Source organism: Homo sapiens, chromosome 9, assembly GCF_000001405.40.
Source record: "Homo sapiens chromosome 9, GRCh38.p14 Primary Assembly".
In the NCBI taxonomy this organism is placed as follows: Eukaryota; Metazoa; Chordata; class Mammalia; order Primates; family Hominidae; genus Homo; species Homo sapiens.
This window is the reverse complement of record NC_000009.12, coordinates 92,925,921-92,948,574: the sequence shown is the minus strand read 5'-3', so window position 1 is coordinate 92,948,574 and position 22,654 is coordinate 92,925,921. Positions and strand designations below refer to the sequence as shown.

The 22,654-nt window shown below is 44.6% G+C and overlaps 1 protein-coding gene across 1 annotated transcript in view, besides 2 other annotated features; it reads right to left on the bottom strand.

The window, feature by feature from the left end:
* FGD3 (FYVE, RhoGEF and PH domain containing 3) overlaps positions 1 to 1,052 on the bottom strand; it is an 88,711-nt gene extending 87,659 nt beyond the window's left edge. Inside the window, exon 1 of the mRNA NM_001083536.2 lies at positions 846 to 1,052. The gene's annotated coding sequence lies outside the window, so the exon portion shown is untranslated. The remainder of the gene's footprint in view (positions 1 to 845) is intronic.
* Positions 6,226 to 6,395: an enhancer, noted in NCBI's record as "experimental_109845 CRE fragment used in MPRA reporter constructs". NCBI's record gives its function as "activates a minimal promoter by MPRAs in K562 erythroleukemia cells, with activity observed for both the introgressed and non-introgressed 9:95704547 or rs80268057 variant alleles {active_cell/tissue: K562}" and the evidence as "EXISTENCE:reporter gene assay evidence [ECO:0000049][PMID:34662402]".
* Position 6,310: a transcriptional cis regulatory region, noted in NCBI's record as "Neanderthal adaptively introgressed variant 9:95704547 (GRCh37/hg19 assembly coordinates) or rs80268057 in the experimental_109845 CRE". NCBI's record gives its function as "modulates activity of the experimental_109845 enhancer by MPRAs in K562 erythroleukemia cells {active_cell/tissue: K562}" and the evidence as "EXISTENCE:reporter gene assay evidence [ECO:0000049][PMID:34662402]".

Below are 22,654 nucleotides of genomic sequence, written 5' to 3'. Positions count from 1 at the left end.
TGATTTTAGGCAATGATACCTGTATTTCCCAGCCATCCCAGAAAATGACAACATTCTAACTGCCCTAATTCACAGACACAGAGCATAGGAAACATGCAGTCAAAGAGCCGGGACAACATGGATCCCCAAGGACCAGAGGCACGAACTACAAAAAGGGACACGGCCAGCCTTGCGGCCTCTTTCGGCCCATGTCTATCCGAAGAACTGGAGGTCTTAATGAACCTCAAACTTCTGCCTAGCAGCTCCAAAGCACCCGCTTTCGCCCTGGTTTTATATTCTCCCTTATGAGAAGTGACACTTAGGGGAAATGCCGAGTGGCAAGAATAAGGTAACAAAAAGAAAAGACAATCTCAGCATCCGACATGGGGTCCCCGTTGCCATGGCAATCGCCCAGGCAATGATATGTGTTCTTTTTTTCAAGCAGACTATTTTCCTTTCCCATCCATTTGAAAAGAAATGGGAAGAATGGGGAAGGGTGGAGAAGTCCAGAAATAAAACAGGTCTCATCACAGTCCAGCCCAGCACTTAATCATTCAGTAGGTATCCTGGAGAATCCTGTTCCCGAGCCGGGGGTCCCAGGACCCACCGCGAGGACTGCCAAGGTGGTTTTCTTCAGCTCAGTCTCCACTGGGCTGTGCTCAGGAGGGGGCAGAAAGCTGATTAAAACCCCTCTTCAAAGTATACACCAGGCAGTCACCTCCTCCTTCTGCAGAAGGGTCTCACCAGCCCGCCCCCTGGAGAAGCCCTGCTCAGCCGCAGACACCCAGAAAAATGAGCCCACACAGGATCTCAAAGCCACCTGAAACAAGCGAAAATTGCCACCTTTTCCAATGTAACCTACTCACCGCCTTCCTCTGGGGACGAAAATAATTAACAAAGCAAACAGGAAAGCCGGAGGCTCCCCCAGCTCCGCACAGGCAAACTCGATACTTGCCGGAGCCGCTTCCAGAGGAGCCCCGGGGAGGTCGCTCACAGTGGGCAGCAGGAGGCTGGGGTCTCCTTGGGGACCTGGAGGGCCGGGCTGTGCTTCCCGCGCCAATCAGCCCAGGACTGAAGCCCCTGGGGTTCTGAGGAGCGGTCCCGCCTCCCTGGCCCGCCCCGAAGGTCCGCGGCACCCACAGGCAGCCGCCCTGTCTCCTCCTCTCCCGGCAGCTGCAGGGACGCTGAGCCCTGACAAAGCCGCCTGCGGAGAGCCAGTGGGAGGGCTAGGGGCGCCGGCTCGGGTGCACAGGCCGCTCTCCATGACAACAAGGGCTGGGGGCTGAGGGCGGAGCGGGTCCCTTAGGCCAAGGGGGAAATGCTGTTTATTTTTCCTGACACCTCTGCCCGGAGCCATTACCTCTGCCAGACTTTCTAGAGGGTCCTGGGGCAGCAGTAACTTTCTTTGCTCCTTCACCACAAGGAAACCCCTTTTTAGGTGTGTGCACTTTCCTCCAGGCTTAGAGAGGGTGGAGTGGAAAATAGGCACTTGCTTAAAGAGGTGTTGGTGCAGAGGCTGTGCGTGCATGTGCGTGTGTGTGCCGTGTGTGTGTGTGTGCTGTGCATGCTTGTGTGTGCGGTGTGTGTGCAGCGTGTGGCATGTATATGTGGTGTGTGTATGTGTGGTAGGCTGTGTATAGTGTATCTGATGTATGGTGTGTGTAATGCGCTTTGTGGTGTATGTGTGTTGTGTGTATGTGTTGTATGTGGGATGTGATGTGTGTATGGTATGTTTTGTGGTTTTTGTGTGGTGTGGTATGTGTTGTGTTGTATATGTGGTATGTTGTGTGTTGTGTGTGTGATATGGGGGTGTGTGTGCAATGTGTAGTGTGTGTTGTATGCATGGTGCGTGTATGGTTTATGTGTGCATGTTGTGTTGTGGTATGTATTGGGACTAGGCCCCCAAATTGGGCCATAAACTGGCCCCAAGACTAGCCATAAACAAAATCTCTGCAGCACTGTGACATGTTCATGATGGCCACGACGCCCATGCTGAAGGTTGTGGGTTTACCAGAATGAGGGCAAGTAACACCTGGCCCACCCAGGGCAGAAAACCGCTTAAAGGCGTTCTTAAACCACAAACAATAGCATGAGCGATCTGTGCCTTAAGGACATGCTGCTGCTGCAGATAACTATCCATTCCTTTATTTCCCATAAGGAATACTTTTAGTTAATCTATAATCTATGGAAACAATGCTTATCACTGGCTTGCTGTCAATAAATATGTGGGTAAATCTCTGTTCGAGGCTTTCAGCTCTGAAGGCTGTGAGACCCCCTGATTTCCCACTCCACACTCTATATTTCTGTGTGTGTGTCTTTAATTCCTCCAGTGCCGCTGGGTTAGGGTCTCCCGGACAGAGCTGGTCTCAGCAGTATGTGTATGATGTTCAAATCGCTTGAACCCAGGAGGCAGAGGTTGGAGTGAGCCGAGATTGTACCACCGCACTCCATCCAGCCTGGGTGACAGAGAGACTCTGCCTCAAAAAAAAAAAAAAAAAAAAAAGCAATGAAGAGAAAACATTTTGAAGGAAAAGGATGTCCCTAAGTGCCAAAACCGAGGTCCGAGCCTCGGCCCACACCTCAAGCGAGGGGCCTTGTTACCCTCAGCTGTAAAGTGGACATCTACATCTAGCCGGGCCTCCTTCAGCATTGCCAGAGAATTCCATGGGACACAAATGCACACACAGCCCAGCTCCCGCTCATTGCTCTGTTCATGCCAGCTGGTACCATTCTACTACTCCAGTATTTACATGTGCTTTTTATTTTTTAATCAGACTCTACCAGGCCTGTTATTTTAGGTGTGTTTTTCTCACCCTGAAACATATTGCAACATTTTTGCTTTTAATAAATGTTCTCCTATGGCCATGGGATTCTTCCCACCCTGTCCTTCCTGGGTCCCAGCCAGTTCTTTGCTGGTGCTTCTCTACTCTTTGCCCTTGCGGTCCCTGACAGGAGGTAGACATGGGTGGAAATCAGCAATCGAGCGCTTTTTCCCTTCTCCGATGGGGGCCTCTCTCTCACCAAGCCCTGAGCCACAGACCCTACTCTGCCCAGATAGTCTCAAGGCACCATGAACAATGGCTCATTTTTACACTCTCACACGCCTATCTTACAGAGGGACAGAGAAATTCCTGCAAACCCAGGACACCACATACCACCCAGAGCATGTGGACCCAAGACCCTCCAGACCCATTGTTCTTTTTTTTTTATTATTATTATTCTTGAGATGGAGTCTCACTCTGTCGCCCAGGCTGGAGTGCAATGGCGTGATCTTGGCTCACTGCCATCTCTGCCTCCCAGGTTCAAATGATTCTCCTGCCTCAGCCTCCAGAGTAGCTGGGATTATAGGCGTAAGCCACCACACCCGGCCCAGACCCCTTGTTCTTACAAGGGGAGCGCAGGTCTGTCAAGCTGAGGACCTCCTGTGGGTCCGCATTTCTGGTTTGTTCTTGGGACTTGTGTTGGGCAAGAACCAGCAGTGTGGCAGGCAGCCTGCACCCCAGTCCCACAGGGTCAGCCTCACGGGGCTGCCAATTGGTCACTACATTCCCACATGGCAGGTGACTTCCCACGCAGTGTCTGGACCAAAAGGCAATGCCCGGGGATAGCTCTCGGGACCCAGGTAATCCTGTGCTTCTCATCCCTTCCTGTGGAGACAGCTCTGGGTTCCACACTCTAGCTGTCCTGATCTGGCCTTCGCTATGCCGGGAAAAATCCCACAAATAAAAACATAGACTCGTGGTCTAGGAAAAATGCTGTTGTCTCACTAAATGGTTTTTTGCTCCTGAAGAGCTGATGCACAAAATACCATGTGGCTGTTAAAATAATCAGGAGTGTTATGTGGCAACATGGGAAAACACTGCAAACAATGAAAACAGAATCATGAAAGCTGCAATTACCACCTGGTCAAAACTATTTCTGCACATGTGGAGGGGACAGAGTACATGGTGGGACTCTGTGCAAATATTCTTCTTGTTTTCTTTTGTTGTGATGAGAAATGTATAATAGGCCGGGTGCAGTGGCTCACGCCTGTAATCCCAGCACTTTGGGAGGCCGAGGCAGGCAGATCACATGGTCAGGAAATTGAGACCATCCTGGCTAACACGGTGAAACCCCGTCTCTACTAAAAATACAAAAAATTAGCTGGGCATGGTGGTGGGCGCCTGTAGTCCCAGCTACTCAGGAGGCTGAGGCAGGAGAATGGCGTGAACCCAGGAGGCGGAGCTGGCAGTGAGCCGAGATTGTGCCACTGCACTCCAGCCTGGGCAACAGAGCAAGACTCTGTCTCAAAAAAAAAAAAAAAAAGTAATATATAATAAACTAAAACCGGGGGGGAAAAAAAGGAATTTCCTTTGTTTTCTAAGTATCCATTATGTTCCAGGTACTTTCCCTAGGCAGTGTCATTTAATTATCCAAATCTGGGTCTTCTCACCCAAAACTCACACACCTCTCAGAGAACAGCTGTTTCATGACTCCTAAAACACTAAGGAGAGTGACAGCTGCAATATGTCCAGGGTCAGCCCCAAGTCCTGCCCCACAACGTGGTCCCTGGCCTGCCCGGAAAGTGTTGGCCACGTGTTACCATGGAACTCAGCCCTAAATGGCCTGAGCCCATGGCAACTTTTGTGTTCAAAAGCCTCAGCAAGGACAGGCGTGGTGGTTTATGACTGTAATCCCAGCACTTTGGGAGGCCGAGGTGGGCAAATCACTTGAGGTCAGGAACTTGAGCCCAGCCTGGCCAACATGGTGAAACCCCGTCTCTACTAAAAATACAAAAATTAGCCCAGTGTGGTGGCTCACACCTGTAATCCCAGCTACTGGGGAGGCTGAGGCAGGATAATCACTTGAACCTGGGAGACAGAGGTTGCAGTGGGCTGAGATCGCGCCATTGCACTCCAGCCTGCGCAACAGAGTGAGACTCCATCTCAAAAAAAAAAAAAAGCCTCACCAAAGAAAAGGTGTCTTCACTTGAGGTTTGAGCAATGTGGATTTCCCCCAGAAAAATGAAGAAACACTTCAATTCCAAGCTTTATTTGTTGGGTTTTTAAATATCCAAGCGGCTGCCCACACCAATAAGATAGTCCTCCTTTGCTACCTAGGAGCACAAAGGTGTGAGTGCCTCATCCCAGAGGGCTGGACATGCTCTCCATTCTTTGCAACTTTCAGCCATGAGCTTGTGACATTTCACAGGAGAAGCATCAATTGCAGCTTCCTGTCACTCCAGCGGATGGTCTCACACCCGCTCCTGCTAGCCTCCACCCTCCGGTCTGATTCTGGAGGAGAAGGAACAGGTGGTGGCACCAACTGTTTCCAAACTGCTGAGCCAGGAACAAGCTTCAGCATCTGGGCACGTGGCCACAGGGCACTGGCTGTGTTTGACCTGCCAGGGCCCAGCAGCCTAGGAATGGCAGCCTCCCTCTGAGAGCCTACATAGACATATAACACACTGTGCTGTGTTATATGTTATATAACATATAACACACCAATCAGTGGCCTGAGGTGAAAGCCCACCACAAAACAGAATTTGCTTTCTGTAGCAACTGGTCAAAAGGAAGGAGTAAAGTATTACATATTAAATTGGAATTAAATAAGAACTCTTTATGAAATAACTGCATATCCATCTGTACATGGAATATATGATGAATACATAGTTCTAAATACTTTGTACGTGCCAGGCCCTCACACAAGGATATCATTTGCTCCTGGGTGGTCCATCATTAATTCTGTTCCACAGAAGAGGAAACTGAGACTCAGAGGAGGGTGTGGCTCAGACAAGGCCCCACAGCTGGCCATCAGGGGCGCCCCACAGCAGCCCTTCTATTCCAGTCATGGAGACTGCTTGTCCCACTTGGCTCATCTCCGTCAGCGATGTGTAAAATCCTTCGGGAGCAGCAGTTCTGGGTGAGGGTGGGCAGTGAGTGTCCCTGGACATGGGAGCTCCAAGATTCTCCTTCCTGGACTCCTGGGCTCTCTGACCTCAGTGCCAGCCCTGGTAGGCTCTGGAGCTGAATCGGTGGAGCCCTGTCAGCCCCTGGGGACACCAGGGTCCCTGAAAGAGAATGCTCTTCCCCAGGTGGCCTCAAGAAGCACCCCGCTACCTAGTCCAGTTTGCCCCTCCTGCCCTCTGGACTGCATCTGGAGGGGATGGCAGTTTTAATTTTCAGTGGCGATGGCTCTTGGAATACAGCACTGAGACCTGAAGATGCTGGCAGGTCAGAGTGCTGGTGGCCGCCACAGCCAGGTAAGGGACACCAGGGAGGGTAGACCTGCCAGGCATCCAGAATGTGGGAAAGATGCTTTACTGACACCTGCGCTGCTCCAGAAACTCCCTCGGGGGGACCTCACTTGCAAAATGATGAAATGATGTCTCCTTGCCACCAGGGCCCTCCCTGTCAGGGCCTCACTGCCTCCCTACTCTGTCCCTGCAGCTCCACTTTCCAGCTCCACCCAAGGCTCCAGCACTCCGGGATGATGCATCCCAGATCCCCAATCCTATCATTACCAGCTGTGCAAACCCACGGGAACTAAACACAGGGAAACACACAGTGTTTCCACCCGGCTGAGGCAGGCTGCCTGCCCACAGCTGCTGGTCTGTGTATAGGCCCATGGCAGAATGATGGTAAGGGCAGCATCCGCCTGTCAATGTTCTGGGAATATGCTGTTTAAGACCAGTGCCAACTCAGCCTTGGTAAATGGCGTGTTACAAAACCTCAACTTAGACACTTTTTCCACTTTGCATCAGGGGACCCAGAAGCCCAGTCAAGTCCCCGGCCTGGTGTCCTCTTAGCTTTGACATCTGGACTTTGTGGGAGAGAAGACTCCAGGCCCCAAGCCATGAGGGCAGCTGACAAGGTTCTCTCCTTAACTAGACTCTACTCAGGCTCCACTGAACTCTCTTTCAACCAAGCCCTGATTTGGGGATTTCTATGTTTGTCTCTGCGTTGTCCAATTTTTTTTTTTTTTTTTTTGAGATGGAGTTTCCCTCTGTTGCCCAGACTGGAGTGCAGTGGTGCGATCTCGGCTCACTGCAACCTCCACCTCCAGGGTTCAAGCAATTATCCTGCCTCAGCCTCCCAAGTAGCTGGGATTACAGGCACCTGCCACCATGCCTGGCTAATTTTTGTATTTTTAGTAGAGAGGGGGTTTCACCATGTTGGCCAGGCTGGTCTCGAACTCCTGATCTCAGGTGATCCGCCCGCCTCAGCCTCCCAAAGTGCTGGGATTACAGGCGTGAGCCACAGCACCTGGCCTCCATTGTCCAATTTTATCAAGGATCCTACTAAATCAATTTAGCCAGAATACCCCATCCTCAGTCATCTGGTCACCTTCACTAACTGGCCAGACTCCCCATCCCCTACCACACCCTGGGTGCTGTCTGGTCGCTGTGGCCAGCTTTCAGCAACAATCCTGTTAGGCGGCTTGAGCCAGAATGGCCCTTCCCCCTGCTGTTTTCCCTCCGTCATTCTCCATCCGGCAACCCCCAACCTGCTCTTGGCTCTCAATCCCCAGTTGTCCATGCTGTGTTTGGAACTGAGCCAAATATCTCTCTCCCACTACAAGACCCTGTACCTATCTCAATGGGCCTGAACAAAGTTGGCCTTATGGGGTTTTAAAAAGCACCAGGAATATTTTTTCTTTAACACAGCTGATCCCAACATCCTCCAGCTCTCTGCTCCACCTCTGCAGCCCAACACTACCCTAACCCAGTGTGGATCTCCACAACTACCCCCTCTTTGACCCTGGGGACAACATGGACCTCACCCCTCCTTGTCCTGGAGGATGCTCTGATGTTCACATTCAGGTACTGGCCAGAGTGAAGGTCCCCACCACAGTTCCCTGTGCTGTGTGAACTCCATGCTCCAACCCTCTCCCAAGAGTCTGGCGTGCATGCTGGCATCAGCCCTACAGTAGCTCTTCGAGGGGCTGCTGCCATTGCTCCTGCACCTTAGGGAGACCACAGGCCTGGCCAAGGGCCCAGTGGAGGGTGATGGTGGTGACAGCACACTGGACCACTGGATCTTGCTATGTGCTACGTCTTGGGCCTGGAAGACCTCAAGGATCCTGCCCTCCACATTCATCTAGCACAAGCTCAAGTTCCATCCAAGAGGGAATTGGGGCCCAGAAAAACTTCCAGGTTCCCCACACTGTGTGGTGGGTCAGGTCCAGGTCCCTCTGCCACCCTCACTGAGGGGGTGCCACTGCCACTCTTGCTTAGTGGGCTTCCTTCAACCAACCAGCCTGGTTGGGGCTTGGTTGGGGCTTCCTTCATCTGCAACCCAGCAGCTTCCATTAGCAAGACACCAGGTAGAATATCATTGCTGCACCAGGGCCACACAGGACCCTGCACACAGGAGATCTCAGACAACTGACAAAATTTAAATGGGCTCTGCTCATCAGAGCAGCCAAACAATGACACCCTATAACAATGAGCATGCTTTGTGCCCAGAGCTTGGTCCCTAAGCTCCAATTTCCAGTAATAGAAATCAGGGTTCTCAGGGGAAGTGACTGACTCCAGGGCTGGGGCAGAGAACATAGAAGACGAGCCTGGAGCATCTTGTATACCAGAAAGTGAAGAGGTAGTAACAGAAAGAAGGAAAGGAGGGGAGGGAGGGAGGAAGGGAGGGAGGAAGGAAGGGAGGGAGGGAGGAAGGAAGAAAGGAAGGAAGGGAGGAAGGAGAAAAGAAGGAAGGAAAGAAGGAAGGGAGGGAGGAAGGAAGGAAGGAAGGAATTTGTCCAAACAGGACCCAACCTGAAGGAGCTCCTAATTGCCAAGGATGGAATAATTTGAGCAACAAAATAAAGGATGATATTAGATTTTAACCCACAGAATAGAATATCCATCATGCTGATATTAGTAATGGCAAAAATCAATAAACAAATGGAGAAGAGATGATGCTTCTTCACAGAATTCCAATGAAGAAATGAAGATAGAAACATTGCCAACAGGCAAACACCAGGAATAAAGGCTGCAGACACAATCCCACAGTAGAGGCAAAAATTAGTGGGTGAAATTTTGGGGGGAATGGAATGTACATAGTCTCCCCCAAGATACTGAACTACAACAAGAAAGACGGTAACTATAAAGTGGAGAAATTTCATCAAAGTGTACAGTGTAGAAATTTCATCAACTTAACCCAGTGGTCAAGGTTCACATGGCGAGTATCAGACACACAGACATTCTGGGCCTCTCAGTAGGATGCACCAAAAAGGGCATATCGTTTCCGTGGTATTCAGATCAAGACCATCCTGGCTAACACGGTAAAACCCTGTCTCTACTTAAAACTACAAAAAAATTAGCCGGGTGTGGTGGCAGGCAGCTGTAGTCCCAGCTACTCGGGAGGCTGAGGCAGAGGAATTGCATGAACCTGGGAGGTGGAGCTTGCAGTGAGACGAGATCGCGCCACTGCACTCCAGCCTGGGCGACAGAGTGAGACTCCGTCTCAAAAAAAAAAAAAAATGCATACACATAGACGTAGAGTGTGGACTGATGGACAATAGAGAGTTGGAAGCATGAGAGAGTGGAAGGGAGTGGATGATGAGAACTTACTTAATGAGTGCAATGTACTTTATACAGGTGATGGATACTCTAAAATCCCTGACTTAACCACTATGTAATCTATGCACGTAACAAAATTGCACTAGTACCCTACAAATTCACACAAATATAAATAAATAATGCTAGAGATGAGTGAGCAAGAGGAAGAAGGGGAAAGGGGTACAGACAAAGGGGAATGAGGAGTGACATGTTTTGTCACTCCAGGGTTGCTGCCTGGAGATAAAGTTGACAGGAACGTTATCTTCTGACTTTCCCCATTAGGTGCAATCCCACAGGCAAGTGGGCTTGCCAAAGAAGAGTCCTGCTCCTGACGCCCAAACAGAGATGAGCCTCTCCCTCTCCTTTCCTGAAAAGTCTCTTCTCCATGGCTTGGACAAACTGTTACTGCTTCTCTAGAGGGAGACCCTATACAAGAAAAAGAAGGAATAACTTCCCTCCAGTCCTCCTCCTTACCATGAGGCAATAATCAGAATGGGATTTCAACATTCATGGGGTAAAATGTAAAATCAGATTCTGAAAGTGGAAGTTTGCATATTGACAGCATTTGAGATATTTGTTTATTAACGTCAACACAATTCCGAGGACTCTTTTGGAAAGTGGATTTTGAGGGTGATCCACCAAGTGGGAGGAACATTATTTTACCTTAGGCTGAATTTCTCCACATGGGTAGATTTAACAGAGATTATGCATTCAGAGTATTGTTTTGTACATCTGGATGTGATTCTACTAGTTTACTGAATTGGACAATAAATTACCCAATAGAGTTTTAGATGATGCAAAAGAAGTTTAGATGCCATAAAGCTCTTGACATCTTGCACAGACTTGGAAACATAAGAATGCTGGACTGTGCATCACGTATGCCCCATCCACACCCTGTGTCCCTTAAGAGTACTGGGAAGATTCAGCCTGCACCAGGAGTGGTCCCCAATCTTTTTGGCACCTGGGAGAGTTTTCATGGAAGACAGTTTTTCCATGGATGGGGAGGGGATGAGGAGGCTGGTTTCAGGGTGAAATTTTTCCACCTCAGATCATCAGGCAATAAGTTAGATTTTCATAAGGAACACGCAACATAGATCCCTCCCATGCATAGTTTGCAATAGGGTTTGTGCTCCTATGAGACTCTAATGTCGCTGCTGACCTGACGGAGGTGGAGCTCAGGCAGTAAAGCTGCTTCACCAGCGCTCAACTTCTGCTGTGCTGCCTGCTTCCTAACAGGCCATCAACCAGAGGTGCCTGGGGGCTGGGGACCGCTGCTCACCAGGCTTGAGAAACATATCGATATGAGAAGCAGCAGTTCTTTTAAATGAGTTTTACCAGCTCTTCTAAGAAATTAAATATGTTACACAAGAAGACAAATGAGGGTTGCACAATGACCATGGGTTTTATTTTCTGTGTTCAGTGATTTTTTAATTTCACTAGTGGCCTCTGCATACAGTAAAATTACTCACTCAATTATCTGAATTTTGATTTAGATTATGGTCCCTAAACAATTAAGAAATTTAGAAAGTGCCCTATGTTAATACCATAGAACACAATCACTATTGAAAATAAGCACTGATTGTGACACTGCACTCCAGTGTGGGCAACAGAGTGAGACTGTCTCAATACAAAAAACAAACAACAACAACAAAAAAAAAAGGAAAGAAAAAGAGAAAATAAGCATTTGTCAGAAAAATATGACATCTTGAAACTTTTTATCTTAACTCTGTAGATACAAATATTTTTCCATTTTATCTGATACAAGAACCAGTTTATAAAGCAAATTTAGGAAGTTACAATTACTTTGCCGTTTAAAAAAATCTATATCCTTGCATGAGCTAAAATATCATTTTGCATTTCTATTTCTCACTGGGGAAAATCTCCAGATTTTCACACCACAAAGAGCCATCTTTTACCCAAAATGTACCCCCCAAATTTAATCAATCGGAGAGTTTGCCTTGATTTGGAATACAGAGTTATTAAAATATACTTCTCTCATTTTTCTCTTACTGAGTACTATTACACTCATCTATATCTTGATTAAAAGTCTAAAATACAGGCCAGGCGCAGTGGCTCACACCTGTAATCCCAGTACTTTGGGAGCCTGAGGCAGGCGGATCACCAGGGCAGGAGATCAAGACCATCCTGGCTAACACGGTGAAACCCCATCTCTACTAAAAATACAAAAAATTAGTCGGGCATGGTGGTGGGCGCCTGTAGTCCTAGCTACTTGGGAGGCTGAGGCAGGAGAATGGTGTGAACCTGGGAGGCGGAGCTTGCAGTGAGCCGAGATCACACCACTGCATTCCAGCCTGGGTGACAAAGGGAGACTCCGTCTCAAAAGAAAAAAAAAAGTCTAAATATAAAGTGTTCTTTAAAGATTTTTGGCTGAGCACAATAACTCATGCCTGCAATCCAAAGGCTATGGGAGACTGAGGTGGGAAGATCACTTGAAACCAGGAGTTCCAGACCAGCCTATGCAACAAAGTGAGTCTCCTATCTCTACAAAAAGTAAAATACAGATTTGTTGAGGCACACCTGTAGTCTTAGCTGCTCGGGAAGCTGAGGCAGGGGGATCCCTTGAGCCCAGGAGTTTGAGGGTGCACTGAGCTGGGATTCCACCACTGCACTCCAATCTGGGCGACCGAGTGAGACACTGTCTCCTAATAAGTAAATAAATAAATAAATAAAAACATTTTAAGATTTTTTATGGCTAGGTATTGTGGCTCACACCTCTAATCTTAGCACTTTATGAGACCAAGGCAGGCAGATCGCTTGAGCCCAGGAGTTTAAGACCAGCCTGGGCAACATGGAAGGATCCCATCTTAAAAAAATAAAATTTAAAAAATAAGAGTTTTTATGACCACTAATTGTTGGCATGATATAAATTCACATGTTTGTTCTTTAGCTTATAATTCAGCAGAAATGATTAGAATTTTCCTTTCACTCATCCAAAAGCTTTTGAGAGATAGAATGTTTTTAAAAATAAGAATACTGCGGCCAGGCGCGGTGGCTCACGCCTGTAATCCCAGCACTTTGGGAGGCCGAGGTGCGCAGATCACGAGGTCAGGAGATCGGGACTATCCTGGCTAACACGGTAAAACCGCGTCTCTACTTAAAAATACAAAAAAATTAGCGGGGCATGGTGGTGGGCGCCTATAGTCCCAGCTACTCGGGAGGCTGAGGCAGAAGAACGGCTTGAACCCCTGAGGCGGAGCTTGCAGTGAGCCGAGATTGCGCCACTGCACTCAGCCTGGGCGACAGAGCAAGTCTCCATTTCAAAAAATAAACAAATAAATAAATAAGAATACTGATTACATTTTTATTAATAAATTTGTATTAATTTGTTTTGCATAGTTATATGGATTTCATTTTTCCTTATCAGAACGTAATATTTATCTTTTAATTAAATGTCATATAACTTAATTCAGTGATATTTTTTCACTTAAAAATATCCTTTTTCAACATGAAAACCATAAGATTCTGTCCCTTCAAGACTAATTCAATTAAGCTATGTAATATATTTCTGAAAGATAATAAGTATAATTAGTGACTTGGCTCTCTTTTCAAACACTGAAGTTTTAAGATGTCTTTTTTTTTTTGAGATGGCGTCTCCTCTGCCGCCCAGGCTGGAGTGCAGTGGCGCGATCTTGGCTCACTGCAAGAAGCTCCGCCTTCCGGGTTCACGCCATTCTCCTGCCTCAGCCTCCCGAGAAGCTGGGACTACATGCGCCCGCCACCACGGCCGGCTAATTTTGTTGTTGTATTTTTAGTAGAGACAGGGTTTTACCGTGTTAGCCAGGATGGTCTCGATTTCCTGACCTCATGATCCGCCCACCTCGGCCTCCCAAAGTGCTGGGATTACAGGCGTGAGCCACCAGGCCCGGCCAAGACGTCATTTTTTTTTTCTGACAATTATTACCTTTTCACCTGGCGTAGAGAGAATCTTTCTTAAAGATCATTATATGTAAAACATTATCAGTTTTGTTTTTAATTTTACTTAACTTCTCCCTACACCCATAAAGCAGTCTTTGATATTTTTTATTTTAGGTTTTTATAAGCACTTACCAATTTCTTGGATTTAAACAAAATAGAAACTATCTAATTTGAAATATCTTACAACCTTTATTTTCTAACACCTCCAATTCAAAGATGCTGTCTGAAGGAAATTATTTTTCTTTGTCATCCATGGAGTATACATAGCACTAATCCTTGGGGGAATTAACAACTTTGGCAAGCATACTATTCATTACTAGAAAGGCTGGAGTCTCTACTAGGGTCTTTGAATTCTCTTAGAATTTCAATTCTCAATTCATATGGGTTTGGACTTAAGAAAAAAATATATTCAAACAATGAAAAAATATTAAATTTGGTGGCAAGTTGGAGATAATATGGAATCTCTTCTTTCATGGAAAGGAAAGGGGTAACAGAAACTGCTATCTGTCCTTCACTATCCATTCTATCCTTATCCCATACAACTGAAAGTATAGCCTGTCACATGACTAGCCAGCTACACCATATTTCCCAGCATCCTTTGCAGTTAGATATGGCCACGTGACTTGGTCTTTTCAGTAAAATGCAAGCAGATGTGATGTCTGCCACTTGTAGTTCAACACCCTAAGACCAGACTGTGTCCCCTCCATTTGCTCTTCCTCATTCCTGCTGGTTACAACCCAGTTTTAATAAAAAAGATGAGTATAATACACTAGAGGGGAAGAAAGACAAGATGAAAAGAACCTGGGCTCTTGAATTGTGGAGTAGAGTTCTTCACTGACTTCTGTTCTAGCTACTTCATGTTTGGGAGCTCTCCATCATGGCAGTTTAACCTACTCTAAGCCCTAATGTTAGATTTTTCTCAGCAAGATAGAGCTTTAACAGTGTTCCCTGCTGGTTAGAAACACGTGGCAGAGGCAGGTGAGACTCCTGACTGATAATCAATCGTAGTAAAACTTAATTCCTTTCATTGCCTCATACATTGGCTCATACTATCCTTAGTGCTCTACTTTCAGCTCAGTTTATCCAAATCACATCACAGCCTCAGCTGTTCATTTCAATGAGGCAAGACTGTAAATCTTTGATTAAATAAGAAATCTAGCCCAAGTCTTATTTTTTCTTACTTCACGCATGGAGGAGAAGGGAGAAGTGTCCATGACCCTTTTTGTATTCACAAGTATTTATACGTTTTGAAAAACACAAATGTCCATTTAAATATTTTTGCCAGAACAATATGCTATTAATTAAATCAACCAATCAGAACTTACAAATCTTCTAGAGGTTAAGGAACACTTTCACAGGATATAGCAATAGTATCTAAGTTCTAGTGACTTTTCAGACTACCTAGTTAAACAGAACATATACAGAAACAGTTTTATCATGCAGGATTCCATCTGCCTTTCTCTACAACAATAAGGGAAGGAGGAATATTTTCTCTTATGTTATAGAGACTTTTTGTACCAACAGTTAGAAGAGCCTAGAGTTTCAAAGTCATGCAGTAAAGTTCCATTAGTAAACTTGGCCTGGGGAGACCAAAATTTACAATAGATAAGACAGAATAGGATTATTAGCAAGTGGAATACATAGCATGTAATATTTTACATCTATTTATCAATAGTTGATATAGGGTTGCTACTACAGGATGGATTTGAAAGGAAACTCGTTATAAGGATTACATGAAAGAGAAGAAATATTCAGGGAAAAGGCCAGGCGCAGTGGCTCACACCTGTAATCCCAGCACTTTGGGAGGCCAAGGCGGGCGGATCACGAGGTCAGGAGTTCAAGACCAGCCCGGCCAACACTGTGAAACCCTGTCTCTACTAAAAATACAAAATTAGCCGGGCGTGGTGGTGGGCACCTGTAATCCCAGCTACTTGGGAGGCTGAGGCAGGAGAATCACTTGAACCTGGGAGGCAGAGGTTGCAGTGAGCCGAGATCGCGCCATTGCACTCCAGCCTGGGCAACAAGAACAAAACTCCATCAAAAAAATATATATATATATTTGGGGAAATTATGAAAAATTGATATCAAAATATAGATAAATGCAGAGCACTATTGACATAAGAGGCAAACATCAGTAAAGCAATAGAATATAGGAAAAAAGAGAGAAATTTAGACTATGATACAGGAAGTTTCAAATTTGTGGAGAATGAGTGAACCATAAAATAAGAGAACTTGGGACATTTGGCAATCCACTATTTTCATAAGGTTAGTTCCTACCTAACGCCATACCCCAAAGTAAATTCCATGTGAATTTTAAAAACATCAAAAGAGAGTAAATTATTACAAGAAAATATAAAGGTACCACTTTTATACTTCCAGCAGTACAACAAACTAGGTACTTCGAAGTACTCTCCACTACAGTAAACAAACATGTTGCTACTACAATACCATCTGCAATACCAAAAAGTAAGGGAAGTCAGTAAGTATTGGTGACAAAGTAAGTAAGGAACTAAGTATAAGGAACTAAGTGTGAATGGTCCCAGTAAGCCAATGATCAAGAAGACCTTTCATGGACCAAATAAATGCCTGTTCTAGAGCTAGAACATACAGACTAAGCCCAGGACCATCTGCTAGACTGAGGCATCGAACTCCAGACTTGGCATTGGCTAGGGTCCCTTTAGCTAGAGCTAAGGTCATCTTAGGTGAGACGCACCCACCTTGACTCCTGGAATAAGCAAACTACAAATTATCTATGGGGAACAGCCATCCCAGTTGAGGCCCTCAAAGTTCCCACAGATTAACTTCCATCAGGTATAAGTTCACAATCAGAAACCATTTCACTCAGAAGAAAACAAACACACCATGAGTGAGAACCAGCAGAAAGAATGACTGCAGATTTAGTTACCCGGGGATTTCATATACTGGACTTAGATACGGAAATCAAAATAACTATCTGTCAAAGCTTAAAAAAAATGAAAGATGGAATCCAAAAAAATCAATAAAGAACAAGAGATTTAATTCCCAAGAAGTTTCAAAAAGAACTCAACAGAACTTTTAGATATAAAAATTGAATAGAATTCCACTTCTGGCCGTGACAAAGTAACTATTATCAGACCAGCCCTCCTGCTATAAACAACTTAAAAAATGAAACAAAATATGGAAGGACTGTGTTCAGACATTGTATCACAGCCATCAGAGGACTGTGGCCCCTGAAAAGGGGTAAGCCAGTGAAATGAGCCCTACAACCACCCCAGCCTTCTTCCCAGAGGCAGTTTCTAGACCGCAGAGCAGAAGAGGGGACACGAGCAGAGCACAGTGACTTCATTGTGCTTGGGAGAAACAAAACCAAGTCCAGGAAAGGGAAGGGGACTGAAATATACAGGAAGAAGTGTGAGAGAGAAGGCAGCATGCGGAGCAAAGGCTCCAGAAATGTGCATAGGGGATTTGTACATGTTTCCTATTGCTGCTGTGTCAAGTCACCACAAACTCAATAACAACATAAGTTTATTATATCATAGTTCCGGAGGTCAGAAGTCCAACCTCCATGGACTAAAGTAAAAGTCTCAGCAGGACTGGTTCCTTCTGGAGGCTTTGGGGGTTCATCTATTCCTTGCCTCTTCAGCTTCTAGCAGCTTCTGGCATTCCTTGGCTCATGACTGCATCACTAAAACCTCTATTCCTGTTACCACATTGCTTTCTCCAGCTTTGACCTTCTTGTCTCTTATCACAAGGAGCTTGTGATTACATTGAGCCCATCCAGATGATCTAAGATCATCTCCCCATTTTAAGATTCTTTTTTTTTTTTGAGACAGAGTCTTGCTCTGTCACCCAGGCTGGAGTGCAATGGCATGATCTCGGCTCACTGCAACCTCTGCTTCCCGGGTTCAAGTGATTCTCCTGCCTCAGCCTCCCTAGTAGCTCGGATTACAGGCACGTGCCACCATGCCTGGCTAATTTTTGTATTTTTAGTAGAGACGGGGTTTCACCATGTTGGCCAGGCTGACCTTGAACTCCTGACCTCAAGTGATCTGCCCACCTCAGCCTCCCAAAGTGCTGGGATTACAGGCCTGAGCCACCGCACCTGGCCATTTTAAGATTCTTAATAACTTCTGCAAAGTTGCTTTTGCTATGTAAAGTAATATATTCAAAAGTTCTGGGGATTAAGATGTGAATATCTTTCAGGAACCATTATTCTGTCCTCTGCAGGGTTCCTTGAGTCTCTGTCTGAATACTAAGCTCCACAGCACAAGGTAAGACTCAAGGAATCAAAGAAAAGTGCAGTTTATGGCAAACTATAAGCTTATAAAGTGAACCAAGCTCTCACAGGACTTTAGAGACAATCTAGTTCCCATTAGCCAGAGTGAAGAAACCTTGTTGAATACCTAGGCAATTTAGCAGAAACCCCAGAAAGGCAACACCTGAGGAATATGATGAAGCAAGCCCTAAACGAACCTTGAAAGGCTGAAGCTGCATAACAGAACAATACCTGACTTTTTTTTTTTTTTTGAGACGGAGTCTTGCTCTGTCACACAGGCTGGAGTGCAGTGGCACGATCTTGGCTCACAGCAAGCTCTGCCTCCTGAGTTCACACCATTCTCCTGCCTCAGCCTCCCAAATAGCTGGGACTACAGGTGCCCACCACCATGCCTGACTAATTTTTTGCATTTTTAGTAGAGACGGTTTCACCATGTTAGCCAGGATGGTCTCGATCTCCTGACCTTGTGATCTGCCTGCCTTGGCCTCCCAAAGTGTTGGGATTACAGGCGTGAGCCACCATGCCCGGACAATACCTGATATTCTTTAAAGAAGACCAAAAAATCCTACTCAACAAGATACATCCATAATGTCTAGTGTCCAGTTAAAAATTACTAGACATGACAGAGCAAAAAAAAAAGTGACCCATAACTTGTAGAAAAAAATACTCAGCAAAACAGCCTCAGAAATGATAAAGATAATGGGATTTATATATAAGGACTTTAAAATAGTTAAAAGTATATATACTTTTTACTTATTTATTAAATAATAAATAGTTATGTTTGCATCCATAATAGAATGACTTATCCTCCCACTATAAACAACCAGAAAAACAGGACAAATATATGAGACAATTGTTTTAAGACATTTAATAGCAGGCAAATTAGGGCTGTAATCATGGAGGAAAAGAAAATAAATTAGATAAGTTTATGATAAGGTTTCTGCCTGAAGGCAACTGGGAGCCCAGGAACAAGGGACCCAAATAGCCCCCAGTGGACTCTCTGAATTGAGGAGACAGAAATCAGGATATAGGGAGGCTGAGACAGCTACAAGTTACTGCACAGAGTTCTAGAGAGGTGGGACCAGTGCAGAAAAAATATTTCAAGTAATCTGCATATGGGCTGTGCGAGGTGGTTCACATCTGTAATCCCATCACTTTGAGAGGCTGAGGCAGGCGGATCACTTGACAAGGTCAGGAGTTTGAGACCAGCCTGTCCAACATGGTGAAACCCCATCTTTTCTAAAAATACAAAAATTAGCCAGGCATGGTGGCAGGCGCCTGTAATCCCATTCACTTGGGAGGCTGAGACAGGATAATCTCTTGAACCCGGGAGGCAGAGGTCGCAGTGAGCCAAGATTGTGCCACTGCACTCCAGCCTGGGTGACAGAGCGAGACTCTGTCTCAAAAAAAAAAAAAAAAAAATCTGCATATGGATGTCCTTGAGTCATTGAAGAGTACTGGCTGGAGGCAAGGGAAACAGGGTGAAACTCCATGAGGACAGGCAGGCACTGGAGAGCTGAACAAGTCTCAGACCTCCCAAAGCAGGAAGATATTTGAGTTCTAATCACCCTAAGTAAAAAAGTGCTCAGTGATCAGTCTTTCAGTAGAGAGCACAGAACAGTTGCACGTTGGCAGTAGTGCTGACCTATCCCCTTATTGAAAGCATTTGTTAATGCCATTCCAACAATACTTAAAAACAGGCTGAAAGATGAAAGTGATTTACCAACAACTTAACTCCTTACCATGCTTGCACCAATTTAGAGGAAGACAAACAAACAACAAAATTCAAGCAGTCCACAACATAATATTCCCAATATTAGGCATCTAATTAAAATTTACGAGATTAAAACAGACATTATAACCATATTGAAGTATTTATAGGAAAACATAATGAGGGGAGAGTGGAAGATACTAAAAAAAGGGGCAAATGAAATACCTAGAGATTTTATTAAAACAATATTTGTTTCATCTGTCATAGTTGCAAAAAAAATCTGAAATAAAAATTCTACTGAACGTGATTAATAGCAGATTAGACATTGCAAAAAAAAGGATGAGTAAGCTTAAAGACATAGCAACAAAGTCTTTTCAAATGAATCATACAGAAGAAAGTCCTACACAGAACCTTGATGGCCTGCAGAACAATATCAAACAGCCTAACACAGATATAATGTGAGTCTCAGAAGAACAGGGAAGTGGGACAGAAATTTTTGAAAACATAATACTTGAAAAATTTCCAAGTTTGATGAAGACTAAAAATTCACAGATCCATAGAGCTCAATAAACCCAAGGCAGGATAAACACACACACACACACACACACACACACACACACACACACCCCTGACACAAAGGCACATCAAAATCAAATTGTAGCAAACCAGTGATAGAAATGAACCTTAAAATCACTCAAAGAAAAGATACATTATGTACCATGTAATAAAGATTAAAATGTACCACATATGAAACAAAAATAACTCAAAATGGATTACAGACCTAAATGTAAATCCTAAAACTATAAAATTTCTATAAGGAAATACAGGAGACAATCTTTTGCTTGGAGTAGACGAAGATTTATTATACAGAACCGAAAAAGCATGAAACAATTTTTAAAATTGTTAAATTGGATTTCATCAAAATTTAAAACTTTTGCTCTTCAGAAGACATTAAGAAAAAGAAAAGGCAAATTTGAAGATAATATTTGCAACACACGTGTCAGTCAAGGGATTTGTATATAGAATATATAAAGAACTCTTACTACTGAATTAAAAATGAGATAAGTTACCCAATTTAAAATAGGAAAAAGATTTGAACGGATATTTTACACAAGAATATATTATAATGGTAATAAACACATGCAAAGATGCTCAACATCATTAGTCCTTACACAGCCATAATTGGCCAAAACTAAAAAGATTCACCATCCCAAGCATAGGCAAGGGTGTGGAACAACTGGAACTCTCTTTTTTGTTTGTTTGTTTTTGAGACGGAGTCACGTTCTTGTTGCCTCGGCTGGAGTGCAATGGTGCAGTCTCGGCTCACTGCAACCTCCGCCTCCCAGGTTCAAGCGATTCTCCTGCCTCAGCTTCCCAGTTAGCTGGGATTACAGGTGCCCACCACCACACCTGGCTAATTTTTTTGTATTTTTAGTAGAGACAGGGTTTCACCATGTTGGCCAGGCTGGTCTCAAACTCTTGACTTCAGGTGATCTGCCCCGCTTGGCCTCCCAAAGTGCTGGGATTACAGGTGTGAGCATCCGCTCCCGGCAACAACGGGAACTCTCATACACTGCAGGTGGGAATATAAAATGGTACAACCACTTTGGAAAACTGGCAGTTTCTTAAAAAGTTAAGCATCTACTGCCATACAACCCAACCATTCCACTTCTAGGTATTTACCCAAAAGAAATGAAAAAATATATATCCACGTAAAAATTTGTATATGAAGCTTAATTTGTATGTATTAGCTTTATCTGTAATAGCTAAAATCTAGAAAATAACCCAACTATGTTCCATTTTTAAATTGGGTTATCGTACAGTGAACAGATACACAGATTGTGGGATTTCTGTGCAAAGGAATACTACTCAGCAATAAAAAGAAACCGCAATGTGCAATGAAATGGATGACTCTCAAGCTCATGGTGCTAAGTGACAGCAGCCAGACCAAAGAGTAGACATTGTATCATTCCATTCCTACAAAATACTGTAGTGTGCAAATTAATTTATCATAGAAAGCAGGTGATTGGTAGTCTGGGAATCAGGGTAAAGAGAGTAATGAATTGCCAAAGGACACAAAGAATCTTCCAGGGATGCTGGAAATGTTTATTATCTTGATTGTGGTAATGGTTTCATGGGCATAGACATATGTCCAAAAATAATAAAACTACATATTTTAATTATGTGCAGTTTATTGTACTTTAATTCAATAAAGTTATACCTAAAGAAGGAAGAAGTTCCAAAGAAGAGAAACTAAAGCTGCCTCTACCTACACTCCTGACGTATAGTTAAATGTATCTTAACATGTAATAACATGCAATGTAATAATACCTTGCATTATAGTTGATGTCCTTTGGGAGAGAGCCAGCCACAGAGAAATAGTAGGCTATGAAGGCCAAAATAGACATATCTACAGAAGAATATAGATGTCTACTTTAAAAAGCCCTGGTAGTTATCACTGGATTACTGTATCTATGATTGAGTGTCACATTAATGTACCATGAGCTGTTAGATATCAAAACTGTTCAGCAGAGCTTCTCTGAGACCTGAAAGGGGTTCCTTTAGAGTAAAAAACATTTTTTTAACTGAGTGTCAGAATTACTTGCAAGCAGAGTAAAGGATGAGAAGAGCTGCTTTAGTCTATGTTTTTAAAAATTAATAATGTCTTTTTTTAAATTAAAGGAAATGCTGGGAGACACGTAAGTGCTTCTGGGGTGCTGGTAATGTTTTCTTTCTTGCCCTAGGCTGTTGCTACATGATTGTCCTCTTGGTGATGACCTTTTGAGCAGTACATTACATTTTATGTGTGTGCGTGTGAATTTTTAAACTTTAGGATAAAAAAATCTTTTGCCCACAACTGCCTACATCCAAGGAATCATCCTTTCCTGCTCCTCCACACCTAATCTTTCTGATATCTTTTTTTTTTTTTTTTTGAGACGGAGTCTCACTCTGTCGCCCAGGCTGGAGTGCAGTGGCGACATCTCGGCTCACTGCAAGCTCCGCCTCCTGAGATGGTCTCCATCTCCTGACCTCGTGATCCGCCCACCGTGGACTCCCAAAGTGCTGGGATTACAGGCCTGAGCCACCGCGCCCAGCCTCTGATATCTAAAGGGTGACCAAGTCCTTTATTCTGTCTTTATAGTATTTCTCATATCTTTTCTCTCCATTCTCATAGACACCCCCTGCCCGCAAGGTCACATTCTCAATAACTCATGACCGAGATCCACATGGAAAGGAA